This window comes from Homo sapiens, chromosome 5 (genome assembly GCF_000001405.40).
Source record: "Homo sapiens chromosome 5, GRCh38.p14 Primary Assembly".
In the NCBI taxonomy this organism is placed as follows: domain Eukaryota; kingdom Metazoa; phylum Chordata; class Mammalia; order Primates; family Hominidae; genus Homo; species Homo sapiens.
In genome coordinates, this window is record NC_000005.10 from 144,157,625 (window position 1) to 144,175,412 (window position 17,788).

At 36.3% G+C, this 17,788-nt stretch overlaps 2 protein-coding genes across 5 annotated transcripts in view, besides 2 other annotated features; one reads left to right on the forward strand and one right to left on the reverse strand.

The window, feature by feature from the left end:
• Nucleotides 1-537: 537 nt before the first annotated feature.
• On the reverse strand, nucleotides 538-13,035 carry YIPF5 (Yip1 domain family member 5). Of its 3 annotated transcripts, none has more exons than NM_030799.9 (6): nucleotides 12,911-13,035; nucleotides 12,222-12,341; nucleotides 7,808-7,980; nucleotides 6,487-6,632; nucleotides 4,594-4,775; nucleotides 538-2,935 (listed from the first exon to the last, which is right to left on the reverse strand). In NM_030799.9, the coding sequence occupies exons 2-6, from the start codon at nucleotides 12,329-12,331 to the stop codon at nucleotides 2,773-2,775; spliced, it is 774 nt and encodes a 257-aa protein (NP_110426.4). In that variant the 5' UTR covers nucleotides 12,332-12,341; nucleotides 12,911-13,035; the 3' UTR covers nucleotides 538-2,772. The 3 variants fall into 3 exon arrangements, with proteins under 3 accessions (NP_110426.4, NP_001020118.1, NP_001258661.1); NM_001024947.4 differs by having other exon boundaries at nucleotides 12,660-13,035; NM_001271732.2 differs by lacking the exon at nucleotides 12,222-12,341 and having other exon boundaries at nucleotides 12,660-13,035.
• Nucleotides 6,404-7,603: an enhancer, noted in NCBI's record as "CDK7 strongly-dependent group 2 enhancer chr5:143543592-143544791 (GRCh37/hg19 assembly coordinates)". NCBI's record gives its function as "activates an origin of replication core promoter dependent on BRD2, BRD4, P300/CBP, MED14 and CDK7 cofactors, with strong dependence on CDK7, by STARR-seq in HCT116 cells {active_cell/tissue: HCT116}" and the evidence as "EXISTENCE:reporter gene assay evidence [ECO:0000049][PMID:35650434]".
• Nucleotides 12,897-13,176: an enhancer, noted in NCBI's record as "active region_23355". NCBI's record gives its function as "activates an Ori minimal core promoter by ATAC-STARR-seq in GM12878 lymphoblastoid cells {active_cell/tissue: GM12878}" and the evidence as "EXISTENCE:reporter gene assay evidence [ECO:0000049][PMID:35858748]".
• Nucleotides 13,249-17,788, forward strand: part of KCTD16 (potassium channel tetramerization domain containing 16) — a 314,814-nt gene continuing 310,274 nt past the window's right edge. For both annotated transcript variants that reach the window (NM_020768.4, XM_047417449.1), the window contains exons 1-2: nucleotides 13,249-13,385; nucleotides 16,683-16,848. The gene's annotated coding sequence lies outside the window, so the exon portion shown is untranslated. The remainder of the gene's footprint in view (nucleotides 13,386-16,682; nucleotides 16,849-17,788) is intronic.

The window sequence follows — 17,788 nt, forward strand, 5'->3', positions numbered from 1 at the left end:
TCCCAAATCATGTCATTAGATACATTTTAAAAAACTCTCTTTGATTAGGTGGCCACTATCCAAGGATAGTATCTTAAGATTTCTAGAACTTTGCATAATCTGCCTAACTATAACTGGAAAAAGAATGTCTATTTCCATAAGCCTAGTTATACAGCTCTTGAAAATACCCATTGGTAAACACAGTATTATAGCAATGCTATAAAATATACATTTACTCCATATGTAAAGTCAACTACATGATCTTGGCATGTATACATGTATGAGTAACACACTAGTGTTAAGTCAATTTGCCACTCCACTCACAAGTACAGTATTTGGAGATAAGGCGTGTTTCAGTCTGTTACCCCCACGATGAGTTTCAGTTACTCAATGACAATCACTGGATGAGCTTTTAGCTATGGTGTCTCTAGTGTTTAAAGATACCTGCATGCTTTTAGTATAAAATGGGCCTAAAGCAAGGCAGGTAATCTACCTGGTACTTAACTGAAGAAACCAATCTATTCCAATGATAGACAAAAAAAAAGCGCCACATAGTACTTTTTGAGACACAGTACAACAGTCTTTAATGTATATATAAATATGCCTACATAACAGAGTTTGATAAGAGAAGTTTTGGCTATATACAACTCTGCATGTAATCAAACTCTAGAACATCAAATGCAACTCCACTGCATAGCTGTTTTGACAGAGCAACAGTTAAGCATAAAATAGCTTTGCACCTTATTATTTTGGAGCAAAATAAAAAATAACCACCACAAAAAAAATCTCTACAATAATTTAAACTAAAAATGTTGTTGAGGATAGGGTAAACAACAAAAAAGAAAATAATTTGATCCATATGTGATATTTGGCTGAAGATTAACAGTGTTAAGTCTAACCAACAGCGAGATAATTTTAATTTCCAAAGCATCTTCTACCGTTTATTAGCAATATTTGGATATTAAGGGAAGACATTTGCCTTAACAAAAACTATACTGAAAAAGACAAATGAATTGAAAAAGACAAAAATACTATCCAAGAATTACAATAAAAAATTTGGTTAAGTTGGAAAGCCTATCAAATTACCTTCCAAATTGCTTTTTTAAAGCAATTTGGTAAGTTTGAAAACCTAGCCCAAAACAAATTAATGACAAGTGGGTTTCTCCAGACGATTAATGAAGAAAAACATACTTATGTGAATCAATAAATATGTTATTTCTCTCAACCTCTTTTTATGCTTTGAAAACTTGTTCTAAAAAAGAACCATTGATACATCATTTTGACATTTCTATTTAGTCTGAAAATCTCTTTAAAAAAAAAAAAAAGGCAGTATTTTCCTCCCTGTACCATATCTTTCTCGTAACTATAACTGAGCTTTGTCCAGAATCAGAGACAGTTTTTCTAGAAAAAGCCAATGATCAGTATACAAGATACAGTATTTTCCTACAGATTCTCTCTGGCAAGAGAACATGACAATATAAATCAAATAAATTTAATACAATAAAATAATGTAACTCAAACTGCTCATTTAATCCCCTTTTTGTCTGATTCTATATTAGCTGATTTCTATTCTTAAAGCTTAAATTAGGGGTCAAAATCAGAGCCTAGTTAAAAAAGAGACAAAGAGAACAGTAGTTTAGTAAAAGTAAATTCAATAACACAGTTAAAATTAATTGGGAAAGTTTTAATAAGCATTCAAATGTACTTTACATTGATAATTGCAATATTGAATTTTGTAAAACTTTAAATATTTTCCTTAAAAAAGGTTAGTGATTTTTTTATTATTTTTGGGAAATGTGGCGATCCAACGATTATAGCATTAATGCAACCATTCCAGGTCCCTAAGGTTGAGTTAACATTAATATGTAAGTAAGTGTTCGCATTTCATGTCTACAATAAGGTAGATTGTGAACTTCCCGTATCTCTGAATTTTAGCAAAAATTCCATGAGATAATTTACAGTAATGTCAAATTTTTGGAGTGCAAACTCATACTCTACATTTGGATCACTTTTTTGCTTTGAGTTACCTGACTTGAGAATACAAGGCAATTTTTCTTTCCTAAATCCTTGGAAAAATATTTTTGCAGTAAGTCTTGTGTCTCCTTTTTTTTTTTTTTTTGAGACAGAGTCTCACCCTGTCACCCAGGCTGGATGGAGTGCAGTGGTGTGATCTCGGCTCACTGCAAGCTCCGCCTCCTGGGTTCACACTTCTCCTGCCTCAGCCTCCTGAGTAGCTGGGACTACAGGCGCCCGCCACCACGCCCAGCTAATTTTTTTTGTAGTTTTAGTAGAGTCGGGGTTTCACCGTGTTAACCAGGATGGTCTCGATCTCCTGCCCTTGTGATCCGCCCGCCTCGGCCTCCCAAAGTGCTGGGATTACAGGCGTGAGCTACCACGCCCGGCCGTCTTGTGTCTTCTTTACTGTGACTGGGTCGTTTTTAAGAAAGGTTATCAGCTTTGTGTTTGGTTTCCCACAGTTGATAAAAATCTATCAAAAACATTATAATTTGCAAGGAAAAAGGTTTTTCAATGGCTGCAGGAACCAGAAAGAAATAGCATTTCTTATCTGTATAAACACAAACATTTAAAGCTAGTCACACCGCAGGTAAATCCAATATAGTATGCAAAAGTTCTATAAAAATGAACAAGAGATACACGTTTACTTTCATTGCTCCAACAGTCAAATGTAAATCTGCATGAGAGTTGCGCTGCAGCAGTTTGCTGGTCCAATTTAAGAGTTCAAGGTCCTTTTTGTACATCTGGCCCACTGATGTCCACATCCCAGATAAATTTTCAAAAGACGGAAATCAGGGCAAAGACTCCATATAACAAAGCGCAAGGATATGCTACTAAAAGTTGCTGTCCTTCCATGGCTAATGCAGAAATAAATATTTTGGAAGCAGAAAAACTACACCATCCAATAATCCCAGCAGTGAGAATGATTCCTACCATTCCTCTGTAAACAACAAGGAAAAAGGGGGGAGAAGAAAAAAAAGCAGATGAGATTAGTTATGTAAGAATACTACAATAACCTATTCTAAAGCATTTTAAATTTACATTTTAAATCTGCAAGTAGACATATGCAAAAATAATCAGGATTTTTTTTTTCAAATGCTAAAATGTACCTCACAGTAAATTCAATGATGGTGAATCATTTCATGGGATAAACAGCTTTTTTAGAACTATGTTTTACTTTTTAAAAATATAAGGTCTCTCATTCTTGGCACTACTGACATTTGGGCTGGATGCTATCTTTGTTGTGGGGGCTGTCCTGTGCACTGTCAGAATGTTCAGCAGCATCCCTGGCCTCTGTACATAAGATATAAGTAGCACCCTTGCCCCCCATCAGACATTGTCAAATGTCCCCTTGGAGGCAAAATTGTTCCTAGTTGAAAAAAGGGTTTTAGTAGAAAATAACTTCTGTAAAATTCAAATATGAATATATAAATTCTTAATAAATAAGAGTGATTTCTACACTGAAAATATGAAATATTTCTATTCAAAGCAGAAATAGTGTAAAGCATCATCTTGCCAAATTTCTTGTATTGGATAAATAATCGACATATTTGTCTCTTCTCCTCCCAAACCTCCACTTTAGCTTTCAAAGTGTAACAAAGCCTGACCACTGGTAATGTCTAACACTAGTCACATGGAGGATTTTATATTGAGACAATCTGCACACTGGCCAAGAGGAGGAACCTTATTGGCGGTAATGTATACCTTTCCTTCCTTTTTTTTTTTTTTTTTTTTTTTTTTTTGAGACAGTTTCGCTTTTGTTGCCCAGGCTGAAGTATGCAACAGGGCGATCTCGGCTCACTGCAACCTCTGCCTCCCGGGTTCAAGTGATTCTCCTGCCTCAGCCTCCCGAGTAGCTGGGATTACACAGGCATGTGCTACCATGCCCGGCTAATTTTGTATTTTTAGTAGAGACGGGGTTTCTTCATGCTGGTCAGGCTGGTCTCAAACTCCTGACATCAGGTGATCTGCCCGCCTAGGCCTCCCATAGTGCTGGGATTACAGGCGTGAGCAACCGTGCCTGGCCATACCTATCCTTTTAACCTAACCTAAAATATCATTTAAAAATTACACCATATTTAAAGCTGCTTACAAGTACATCTATCTGAGAAACACCGCAGGCTGATAACAGCCTCTTATCATAAAAAGAATACATTTCATTTCCAGTTAGAAAGCTGCCCAATAGAGAGTATGTATTTATTATTCGTACATTTGGCATATGTCCAATGGTTTGAAGAAATTAGGTGGGATCTAGAAAATATCAAAGAGGGTAAGCATAATTTGAACACTAATGACTTGACCTTTTTCATGTAATATTTAATAATTACCCTGTTCAATTTGTTACCACTATGACAATGGTAAGTAAACACAAAACTAGTGAAATTCTTGATCATGAGTAAAATAGAGATGGTATAAAGGTTTTTAAATTTATTCTCATTACCATTGTTCTTCATCCGAAACCATTTGGCACTGTCCCTACTACAAGAGGCACTATCTGATATGTTTGCTGAATCGGTGATTTATCTCAAACTGAAGATGAGGTGAATCCTACTACATAGAATTGGTCAATCAACCCCCAAAATAAAGAACAGTACTTACTGCAAAGAAAATATCACTGCAAAGCTGGAAAGTAGGATCATGGGCAGAAGACAATATCCAAGGACACTTGCCACACAACCAAATGAAACACCTGTCATACTCATTAAGTTTAATAAACAAAACATTCCTAGACATCCAATTGCACTGATCCCGTATACATAGCCAAACTGGATTTTGCCAGCCTATGGGTAAAGAAGATTACAGGTTAAAGGGCAAAAAATAAGTTATTTCTGGCCTTATTTCACCTGAATCAGTACATGTAGCAAATAATTTATGAGCATCAAAATCTACTAATCTATCTATTCTTTACGTAGAGAAGTAAAAGACTGAGCAGACTGGCTTGTTACATTCTTTGTAACTTTAAAGTACAGAGATATTTGGTTCTCCATTTTCCAGTTAGTGTGTAGGCTTGGCATAGAAGTGAACAAATAAAGAGACAAAAGCATAGCAGAATCACCCAAAATAGTAAGATTTCTAAAAAGAACTCTGGATGATTTTAGGCAAATAAACTAGAGACAAGATGGAAAGCCGTTCAAAATGTCTAGATAATTGTTATATCAGTTGAAAGTACCTAATTCCACCAAAAATGCCCCAAAGCATTAATTCTCATTGGTGGAGGTAGTCATAATCTTTTTAAGAAGAAATCTTATGATTCACTTTATATGGGTGCTAGAGGAGCAAGGGGAAAGGAAGCCAGGATAAACAGGAAGCCAGGGTTCTGTGAGGAACAGAGAAGAAATGGCAAAAGGAATATAATGGAAGATATTTTTTTCTTTATTTTTCCAAATTATTGGCTGATTTATACATCCCTTTGATTAAGAAAAGACAACAATAAACAGTTTAAGCACTGCAAAGATTAGCTAAATTGGAATTATCCTGTTAGTGAAGTTTGTGAACAAACTTTGTATTCAGGTCACACTATCACTAAAACCAGTTTACAGAAAAGCCTCCAAAAATTATTGATTTATCCAATTTTTGTCACATAAAAAGTAAATTAGGAGAATGCCTCTACAGATTATGTTAAGAAAAAAAATTATTGGGACTTTTATTAGATTATTTGTAAATACTTGATTAAAAATGCAGAAGTTTGAAAAAGCTCAGCTGAGTTCATTGATGAATTAATTCATGTAGTAATAAAAAAACTCACACTTGTACAGTGTTTTTAACTTTTCAATGTGTTCTCACATAACCTGTCTTGTTTCACCTTCAAAATAATCTTGCTAGGTAAGAAGGATAGGATTATTTTCTATGAGAGGAAACTGAAGGATTAAATGATGTGGCCAAAGGCTGATCAGGAGCACTCAGTTCAAGCCCAGCTCTTATGACTAAAAATCCCATCTTCCGTATATTACATTAGTTATCTCTCATAATTCAGAGACATAAGATAAAATAAATATTAACAATTATCTTTACAACTTTTCTGTTTTCAATATGCCTTAACATTCTTGGGAAGGTGATAAATTGGGAAAATAATTATATAGAAAAGTAATCATCAGTATGACTAGAACAAAATATTAACCAAGGTTTAGAGATTTTTAAAAAAATGCTGTCATTAAAAAAAAAAAGCAATAGTGTAAAAACTGTAAGTAACCTCTGAAAAGGCAGAATTCTAATGAGGGACTGAAGCTATACCTGTTGTTTACTATTTTTTTTTTGTTTTTTCCCCTAATAATTTAATCATTTCTTAGAAAAAGAAATGATTTTTAAAACATGCTACACTTACTATAGATGGAGAACTAATGAATAGGTATAAATACAAGCAACTCAGTACTATTCCAAACACATCAAAGACTTGAGGTGTAAAGCGGAGTTTCAAAATGGCTTTTGGTAGAACATTTAAAATTTAAAGGCTGTTCTTTAATTGCACCCTGAAGGTTGAAATGAAAATCTTACCAGTAGCAATGTGGCTCCAAAAGCAAGGCAAAAAACCATTGGACCTGCCAAATCAGTTTCATTCATGATGCTGCCATCTGCTACTTTTAACGGATGTAATACTGTTAGTGTTTTTTGCCAGATGTGGTCAAAATTGATACCTAACTCTAAAGAGAAAGAAAATTTAAAAGTTAATTAGGATTTGTGATGTATTTTTAATTCATCAAAATCTATCCTGAAACAAGAGACAAAATGACATAGCATCAAAAAAGGATCTAGCAATATTGGATGATATTATTATTATTATAATTATTGTGATAGGGTCTGTCTCCATCACCCAGGCTGGAGTGCAGTGGCATGATCATAGCTCACTATAGCCTCAAACTCCTGAACTCAAAGTGATGTTCCTGCCTCAGCCTCGTGAGTAGCTGGGACCACAGGTGTGCGCCACAACACAGAGCTAATTTTTTTCTTTTCTTTCTTTCTTTTTTTTTTTTGTAGAGACAGGGTCTTGCTGTGTTGCTCAGGCTGGTCTCCTGGCCTCAAGAGATCCTCCAGCCTCAGCCCCACAAAGCACTGGGATTACAGGCGTTGAGACATCGTGCCTGGCCTGGATGATATTATTTCAGTGAGCTCTCTATGCCAGTCTTCAATGTGGTGCTCATCCCACAAATATGTCATTTCTGGATTGGTGTTGGAAAAGGGTATGGATCTGATGAAACAGACACTTATTACATCCCTTAGGTATGACTGCATAGCAAAGAATATACAAAAAGGGTTAACAGTAAGGGGTTCTTTACTTGGGGCTTCAGGAATACCCGGGGGCCCATTTAACTGTATACAAAACTACGTCTCTATGCATATGTGTGCATTTCTTCTGAGGAGAGTGTTCATACCTTTCATTAGATTTTCAAAGAGTTATCTAGTTAAAAAAAAAGTTCAGAACTACCACTTCCTAGGTTTTGGAACACAATTTGAAAATCACCATTTTTTTAGTGATGTCACTAGTTCTGCCAGTTTATTTCCACACAGAATAATGGATAGCACACTTTTTCTTCTCACTTTTCCCACTAGCAGAATTTAGTCAATAACCTGAAGTAAAAGTCGATGCTGACATAGTAACATACTTTATTATCACTATTAAAAGATCTATTAAAAATCTGGTCCCCTCTGGCCCAATGTGGTTTCGCATATACTCTGTTTAAAATGAGTTGTTTAGCAGAAAACTTTTTTCTACAGATTATTTTTTTTAAAGGAAAAGACAATTTCTCCAAATTAAGATTAATTTTCACTAACCAGCTGAATACTATTGAGTACTATCAAGTGTTGCAACAAATCTTACCTTCTAATAAAGGTGGCTCATCCTCAAAGTTGTTTCCATAGAAAGGCTGAGGTGAAGCTGGAGTATATGCCTGAGTTGGCTGGTAAATCTGCCCGGTGTATGGCTGTTGTGGCTGCATCATGTCTGGAGGGACAAATCTGCCTTGCTGCGAATAGTCATAGCCAGCATACTGTCTATAAATGAAAGAAAGTTAAATTTTTCAGAGGTATTTCAACTCTGTACAGTTAATATCCCTTAAATTCCTAAATTTTCATGTGACAGCTAAAGAACCTTAGTTGTGAAATTCCTCAGGTACAAACTTTGCCAATTTTTATAAATCATGGTTGAAATGATCACTAAGATCAAGCTTATTATCTACAATAAAAAAATCATAATTTTTATAGAAAATATTCTTAATGATACCAATATTCACTTACATAGCACTAAGCATTTTACAAACTGTTAAAGGTTAGGAGGTCAACAAATGAAAATGTAAAAATTGTGTCTATTTTTCTCCCTTAGTGGATATATACAATATGAAGATACACTATGAAATAAAATCTATGGCTAAGACTGAATGAAACCTTAGGATGTCAGACTTTGTAATACATGTTATATAATTTTTCACTGTAATTTGGATAGCCATCGAATTATCATTCTTCTTTACTCTTCATAGTATGTTACTTTTGGCAAGCGGACAAATCTCTTTAAGAAAAACCATCAATTTAAAAACAGAGTGGACAAATCAAGCTTTTGCTTTGTGAGCACTTGCTGAATGTAACAAAAGATTTTTAGTACACTTTGCATTTGAATAGTACTTTAGCAAAGTACTATTTTTCAAAGTAGTTATACACTTATTGTCTCATTTGATATGTGCTATAGCAAACCCTGCATCTAGAGGGAAAGGCTTATCACAGCTATTTTAGTGACAATAGCAAGAGGGAAGAGGATACTGAAGCCACATCTTTACGCATCTGTTCCATCATGTTTTGAAAAAATCCAACTTACTGATGGGACTAATCTAATGATATACTAAGAAACACAGATGTAAAATAATTATTTTAAAAGATATTCTTAAAAATGAGAGCTGAGAAGCCTTAGAAAACCTTTAGTCTAATTCCCATTTAAATTCTTATAGTCATAATGTCAGTTGTTTTCCTTGGGGTGAGGCTCTCTATTCGTTTTTGAGAAAATATCTGCCAAATGCTCAAGTCTGAATAACCATAGTTTATCAGTTGTTCTTTCAAATAAAAATGGTCTTCATGAAATAACAGCCAGTTCAGCTTGCACAGGTGCTTTTCGTAGAGGCAGTAATTGTACTTTAGTATGCAGTAAACACTAAATTTCTTCACAAAGAATATTAAAGAAATATATGTACTAAAGGGTCAGGGTTTAATAAAAAGATAATTCTTACTGCTTCCTCAAGAGAATCCTTAAATGAAACTGACTGTCTGCCAACTCTCTAACAAGTATATAGAGTGATGAATAATATGATGACTACTAGAACAACTTGATGCCACTACCTTGATTCATACTCAGGTACCAGCAGTTTTACCAATCAATACTTTTGCAACAGCACTGCAAATGTTAACATACCTAAAAAGGTATATGATATCTTAGTATTGTTATGAAAATAACTTTGACTTTAAAGAATCTCAGAAGAGTCTCAAGGACCCTCTGTAGTCTACAGCCTAAATTTTGAGAGTTGCTGATACAGACCAATAAATTTCATGTAAGGAAGAAAAGTACTGCAAGCAGTTGATTGTTTCAAAGGTGGCACCATCATTCCATCTTCAAGAGGAAAGGTGAGAATGACAATATCATAGAATTTTACTATTTTCCTTTTCTGGCAGGACCTATTCAGGAAAATTTCTGACTTGTTCCTGCTGGTTTTAAACTAAAACATGGTATGGCAGACACGATCTTTACAGGCTAAAACAACATGAAAAGCAGCAGATACTAAATCAATACTCTCATAAGTACTCTGTACCAGTAACAAAGACAAAGCCTCTTAACATATTGGGTTGGTTACCTAAGTTCATGGAAAACCTCAGATATTCCATAAAGATACTACCAGGTAAGTCAAAGAAGAAAAAAAATAACAGCTTTCATAATTTAAAAAATGTGACTTGGTATTATGATATATTTCATAAGCATATCTAGAATACAATGTGGAACCTGTCCAATTTTCCATTTATATAACTCAACAGATTATGATCAAAGGGCCTTTTATACTTTTTTGTTTTTGTTTTTTTGGTGAATGGATCTATGAATGATACTTGTGAAACACCTATAGAGGAAACCAAAAAATGTTAAAGCTGACTTCATTATGGCAAATGCAGAACTGTGTACTAATAACAAGTCAAGTTAAAAACATAAAGACAATGCAAGTAATATGCTATTTGCACCTAGATTTTCACCAATGGAGAGCTAAAAGTTATTAGCGGATCTTTGTTACTAAATTAGCAAATCAAACAAAATATTATTTGGTTAACGGAGATGGACATTTAAAATGTCATTAGATTGCAGATCTACTTGAAGGTACGCACAGAAGAGTCCAGTTTTTACAAAATAAATCTCAGAAACTCAAATTTATTACTGTTAATACATTAGGCTTCTTGTTTTCCCAGGCATCATCTATAAACCCAAGTTTATAGCAATAATGGTTATATAATCACCCAGAATAAAACTTCATCACTAGTACTGAAGCAATGCTTACTGGTACATGATTTGGTTGGAATGAAACTGTGAGAACAGTTGGCAACAGGTGCTAACCAGCAACAAGTTGTTTAGAATATCTAAATTGCTGTGTGGAGAACTGAAATGACTGTTAAAGGGAATGAGACTGTAAGTCACACCTTTTAAGTGATGCAAACGTGGACAGGACAGAAAAGAAAAGAAAAGCAGAGGCAGATAAATCTCGTAGGCTGCAATCTAAATGGAATAGCTCTGTTGAGTTCTAATCATAAAAACCATTCGGATAAAAACAGGCCTGCATAGAGAGACAGGTTCTCCGAAGCTGTGTTGCTGCTTTAGGCAAGGATTTATTAGATGGACTCTGGCTCTCCTATACACAGAGCAATCACCAAAAATACATATTTAGGTAAATAAATGAATGGAAATACCTCAATACAAATTTTCCAACTCTGCCCATTAATTTATCAAAAGAGATAAATCCTCATTGGTATGTAATTAAGTAACAGAAAAGAGAAATGAATCACGGGGTATTTTGACATGCTCACTCCCATTGTTCAAATGTGTTAAGTTTTAGAGGGGAAAACAAAGCCTTAAAATATACCAAATTAAGCAGACTCAAAGAGACTATATGTTTTAGAAAGGATAGCCTAACCAAGACAGACACTATTACAGAGCCACAGTGAATTTGAATTTTGTTTTGTTTTTTAAATTCTTGGGCACTCTAATCCAAACACATTCCTGTATTGCATGTTTCTCACAAACTGACAGATACATAACCTTCCCCTGCCCTCATCGTGGAACAGTCTTTATGAGGTTTCAAATTCGGGATCCATGATGAACATCATTTAACACATGAATTGTCTGAAGTTATATATGCACATTTATTTGGGTGTTTGAGTGAATGCATGTATTTATGGGAAAGAGGCCCAGTTGTAATAGGATTCTCAAAGAGATCCAGAACCATCTAAAAAAGTTTAAGCAATCCTAGTATAGGAAGCTCCTTTATTTGACAGGAAGCTGATAAGATTATCTCTAGGGTCCTAAGAAACTAAGGAGATGATGTTTTAGGTGAGATTGCTAGAAAGCCTTCAGTTCATGTATTTTTGTCACAAACACCAGGTACTATAAAAAGATCATTTAAAAAAAAATGTTCAGAGGCTAACGGCTTTGAGTCAACCTCCTCAGTATGCAACTTATAACACGTGTGGCACTGACCATAAGGGTTTGAGAAGGAGGAGTAATAAAAATGATTATCAACTGCTGTATGAAAATCGCCTGATGATTCGTAATAAGGAGCTTACATCATTAAATAATGTCACTAAGCACTTTCAATTAGCACTGATAAAAGTCTCAGAGTTGGACTGATTTAACTACTAACAAAATACTTTAATTTTTCACTGGTCCTATGAACTAACAGCCTATCTCCTAGGTACCTGAAGCTCCCATCATCTTCTAAATACAGAAATACTGTTACTAGAAAACAGTTCTTCAAACAAGCTACTTTTCCATTCATGGTACACCTGAAGAGTTTGCAGAAGACACTCAACTCTTAAATAGAACAATACCTTCGAAGCCAAGCCAGTGTCACATATCTCTCTAGAGGAAGAAGATTATGCATGAAAGATCATACTCCTGATAAAGGACATGTTCACATATTGTTTTAGGCAGAACCAAATATTCTAAATATGTGTTTTCACTGCAATGTAGACTAAATTAATTGCCAAAGATGAAAAGTTACTTGCTATAGGGTCCTCCACTTCCTCCATAATCATAGGACTGCTGTGACTGATCATCGATGCTGTAACTTGTCTGGTAGAAATCCGTGTTTAAGTTTTCAAAGCCTGACATTGCAAATAATCTGTAATAAAAGAGAAATGGCAAATATTCCTTATGCCCAAGGTTCTACTGAATTCGTTCCTGGCAGTCTGCTTAAGCAAATAGAAACACAACAAATATTTTTTCAGTAATTCGGAGAGGGGATGGGGGCGGAAAGTACGCAGCATTTGAACGACGGTAGCGGAGAGAGAGTAAGAAAATGTATATTCTTTTAAGTTGCGGCCCAGTAAGACAACTCCACCTTAAAGAGCTGATATGCCTTCCATTAGGGGCGAGGTCGTGGGAGTTGTGGTTCCATAAGCGGTCTAAAATATCAATAACAACAAAGATGATTTTTCACCTTAGGACTGGGCTTTACAGCTGACAAGGCGACTGCTTCCTTGCAAAATAAGGCCTGCGGCCTGCCAGGAAAAAGTGCAGAATCTGGAAGGTCGCGCCTGAGGTGCAGGGGACCGCGTCAGGGCAAGGGCTTGAATGAGAGCGAGGGTCTGAGCGAAAGGACCAGGGCGCGGCGCCGAAAGACGGCAACAAGCCCATTTGCACGGGTGTGGAGAGAAGCTGAACACTGTGCCACGGGCCTGGGTCACTCACCAAACTCTGAGGCTGCGCTGGCGGCAAAGGCAGTAGCTTCACTAATCCCAAACAACCCCCAAACTCTGTTTCAGACCCTGAACCAGCCCCGTTGCTACGTGTCACAGGGCCAAAGAACGGCTTCCGGGGCACGCCCGCTCGCGCAGGCGTGTTAGCAGGTTGGGCACCGGTGGGCGGGAGGAGGAGACACGAGTATGGAGCTTGCGCAGTATCTACCCAACCTGCGGCTGGCCCGTGCCAAAGAGGAAAGTGCTTCCGGCAGCCTGGTTAGGGGTGGAACCAGGAAAGCGCAGGCGTAGCAATTGCTGCTTACTCGTAGGTAGGAGGAGGAGTTTCTCAGACCTAGGTGATGGAGGAAGACTGGGAGGCGCTAAAATGAGACAGACGGAGTCCCCTCTCCTGTCCACAAACTACAATGCCTACAATGCCTCGGTGTCAGCATTTACTGTGATTCAAGCACTGTGCTAAAGTGTTTGTATGTATTATTTAATCTTTACAACCTAATGAGATGGTTACCCTATTTCCCTTTTGTAAGTGAAGCTATTAAGTATTCATTCATTCTGTGCTAGCTGCTGGGGATACTGTGGTAAATATAAGCTAGGTGACATCTACCCACCTGGAGTTGGTGGTGGAGAGGGGTAATCGAACACATACAAATGCATGTGAAATTGCTACTAATATTCTTTAGTGTTCCATAATTCTTTGAAAGAGTAACATTCATCTGGGAAGAAGAGTCTGTAAAGCCACTATAAGAGGGTTATCAAAGGGTGAGTGGGAGTTAGAGAAGACCAGAAAAGAGAAGAAAGGGCAACGGGAAAGGAGGATAAGGGAAAATAGCCTGAATATTTTAGGCAAAGAGAACAATGTGTGCAAGATCTGGGAAGCATGGTCTGAGGAAAGATGAAAATCGAGCTCTGAACTTCAGCATTATTAACATTTTGAGTCAGGATGTTTCTTTATTGGGGGCTGCCCTGTGCATGATGCTTAGCAGTAGCATCCCTAATCTCTAGCCATTAGATGCCAGTACTCCCCCCAACCAACCACCACCACCATCACCACCAAGTTGTGACAGCTAAAAATCTCTCCAGACATTGCCAAATCCAAATGTCCTTGGGGGCGGTGGGGGCAACATTAGCTGAATTTGTCAACCACTCTTCTAAGTGGAACCTGAGTGACTGGAACAGCAAGTGAGGGGAGCCACATAGGAGTTGAGGCTGGAATAACAGGAAGGGGCCAGGAAATATCCTGTGGGATTTGTGTGTTGGTTCTAAAAGAAGTGAAGATTGTGAACTGATGAGTGATGTTTAAATTGTTTTCTTTTGAAAATGATTGCTTTGGCTCCTGTGTTAAATCACTTTCCCAAGATGGTGGAATCCCGAATATTGTGACTCGAAATAAGATGCTATTAACTAATGAGCAGAACTTTCTTCAGGGTTTATAGCAATAAAATTTATCATGAGCCACTGCATTATATTCTGGGATCAAAATCCTGAGGCCCTCACAAAAGAAGCCAGACCATTGTTGGGGACTAGTTTCCAAAGGAACAATAAAATTTCACTTAAAACTTTTCTCTCAACACCCCCCACCCCAATAAAACAAACAGAAAACGCACTCCCCTCCAAACAAAAATAGCAACAACAAAAGGATGTAAGACCCAACCAAAAAACCTAGGATTGTACTCTAGAGACCAACAGGCAGCTGCCCTTTGAGGTTTTTACCCATTAGCGAATTTATTTGTTTTATTTTTGTGGATACATCATAGTTGTACATATTTATGAGATAAATGTGACATTTTGATACAAGCATACAATGTGTAATAATGAAATCTGGGTAATTGAGATATATCTGTCGCCTCAGACATTTGTCATTGCTTTGTGTAGAGAAAATTATAAATCTACTCCTAGTTATTTTGAACTATACAATAAATTATTGTTAACTATAGCTACCCTATTTTGCCACTGAACACTAGATTTTTGTGCTTTCTAACTATATTTTTGAATTTCTGAAATTGCTCATTCAAGTGTTCACCACCTTTCATCAATCATTTTAGCATTTATTGGTTTAGGTATCATCTGCACAACTTCAGGTAGAATGACCACATATTATGATTTGCTGGAGACAATTCCATTGTCCCATTTTCTGCCTATTTTTACTTACCCTCAGCATAATTATTAATGTTGCTCCCTTTTACTCTCAAAAATATCCTAATTCAGTTGATAAACTTTGTGATTGTACTTTCTTTAAGCTACATTATCCATGAAGCTGTGTTTCGAGTCATCAATAAGATGCAATAATCCATCATTATCTATTTAATTAATCTTATGGTTAAAAAAATTCTAGTCTCTTTTGTTTTTTTCTGATGTTTCTATTTCTTCTGAATCAAAAAGGATATCCCTTTCAAATTTGAATGAGCTACAAGAATATGAGCATTAAAAATTGCTGATTTAGATGCTGGCGAGGTTTTAGAGAAAAAGGAATGCGTATACACTGTTAGTGAGAGTGTAAATTAGTTCAGCCATTATGGAGGACAGTGTGGCGAATCCTCAAAGACCTAAAGACAGAAATACCATTCGACCCAGCAATCCCATTACTGGGAATACACCCAAAAGGATATAAATCAGTCTATCATAACTACGCATGCATGTGTATGTTCATTGCAGCACTATTCACAGTAGCAAAGACATGGAAGCAACTTAAATGTCCATCCATCATAGACTGGATAAAGAAAATGTGACACATATACACCATGAAATATTATACAGCCATAAAAAGTAGAATGAGGTAATGTCCTTTGCAGGGACATAGATGGAGCTGCAGGACATTATCCTTAGCAAACTAATGCAGGAACAGAAAACCAGATACCACATATTCTCCTTATAAGTATGAGCTAAATAATGAGAACACATGGACACATAGAGGGGAGCAACACACAGTGGGGCATATTGGAGGGAGGAGGGAGAGAATCAGGAAAAATAACTAATAGATACTAGGCTTAATACCTGGGTGATGAAATAATCTGTACAACAAACCCCCATGATACAAGTTTATCTATGTAACAAACCTGCACCTGTACCCCTGAACTTAAAATTTAAAAAATTTGCCTGTTTAGGAATGAATTATTAGATATAGATATTATTCAAATTCTACTTCTGTCTCTGAAAGCAATTAACGTATTTATTTAAATTTTCCCCTTTGAATTTCTGCTCCAATTGAGAAGCCAAGCAAGAACATTGAGTTACCTGATTAAGTTTTGCATATTGTTTATTTGACTTTGAAATGTAAGCCAAGGTATCCTGCTGATGCCCCTTAGAAATTTTGAGAACATCCACTAATTTCATGGCTAGTCACGTAGGAATTTCTTTTTGGATTTTTTTTTTTTTTTTGGCATTGCTCCCTCACTCTGGGATAGGCTCCAGAAAGTTATATTAAAGGAGACTGGAGTACTTGGTAAATGTGCCGTCCTCTGTTAAAGTCACCCAGCTGGCTTTATTAGGAGTAGAAAGCCTCACCCTAGGTCAAGAGATGAGGCAACATGAGCTAGACTTGTAATAGCTGCGCAGTCCTTCCCTGGGACCTAATGTATCCATCACCAAAACAAAAAGGGAAAGGACATCCTAATAATGAGTAATATCATTTAGTTAGACAGTCATGTTAGTATACACACTAACACTTTTACATGCTTCACAAACACACGCAAAACAACTCCATTTTCTTAGTATGGCTCTGAAACTAAGATATTTTAGAGTTACTTTCTTTCCCTTCTGTTTTTCAGTTCATATGTCATGAAAAGTTGTGCCAGAAAATTATGGTTTGAACATGGGCAGTTTTCTCCTACCGTCAGCTATATCCACAAGCATCACATGAAGTGGAGATCTGGCAGCTCTGTGTATTTCAGTCAAGTTCCACAATGAAACCTGACAATAATGGTAAAAACCAATGTAAGTGCCAGTGTTTGTTTTTACTCTCCCTATATATTAACTATGTAACCTCTTTTCCCAAATATGACAATTATATTTCCTCCAAATTATCTTTTTTCCCCTACCAAAGAGTTTCCTCATCAAGTCTCCTGTACTAGGTTATTCAAATTCTGCTTCTTTTGTTTCAATTATTTTACTTTGAACGATGAATAGTTTTGGGAAGACAGGTTTGCCCGTAATGGCATTGGATGCTTTTGTACAGAACTGGTTTTTAAAAGGCAAAGAAATTTAACCCCAATTTTATAACTATTCCTGGAAGCTTGACTTCAGTATTGCAAGTGCTGCATGTTGTTAAAAATAAGTCTTTTAAAGATAACATATAAGCAATATTGTAAATACTGTAAATATTTTCATTGTAGAGATCAAAAATACCCTCTTCAGTAACAAACCTTTCTAATGTCAGGTGAATGGCTATTGTGGCTTGGAATATGAATTTCAGTGAAAGCACTGAAGCACTGAAGTCTGTATTTCAAATAATTTGGGTAGTAGGGGAGATAATATGAAAAACAGCACGGGAGAACTCAAAGTGGGCTCTAATGATGGCAAAGCCACTCATGCCAAAGGTAAAAATGAAGCATTTGAAAAATATGACAGCTAACACCTATTTATACTTCAAGAATTTGTGTGCCAAGCATTTCTTTAAGCACTTTGCACTTTTTAACTCAATTACTCCTCCTCCTGACAACCCAATGAGGTAGGTGCCATGTAATGCCCATTTGACACATGAGGAAATTGAAACAGAGTAAGTAATTTGTTAAACATTATTATGGTAGAAAATAGTAGACTAGACATTTTGAACTTGTTCCTGAGTCCTTATGCTAAAGCAGTAGGCTGTATTGTTATTGTGTTATGAAATGTGAATGAAGAAAAGTCAATAATTCTGATTAATATACTAATTTAT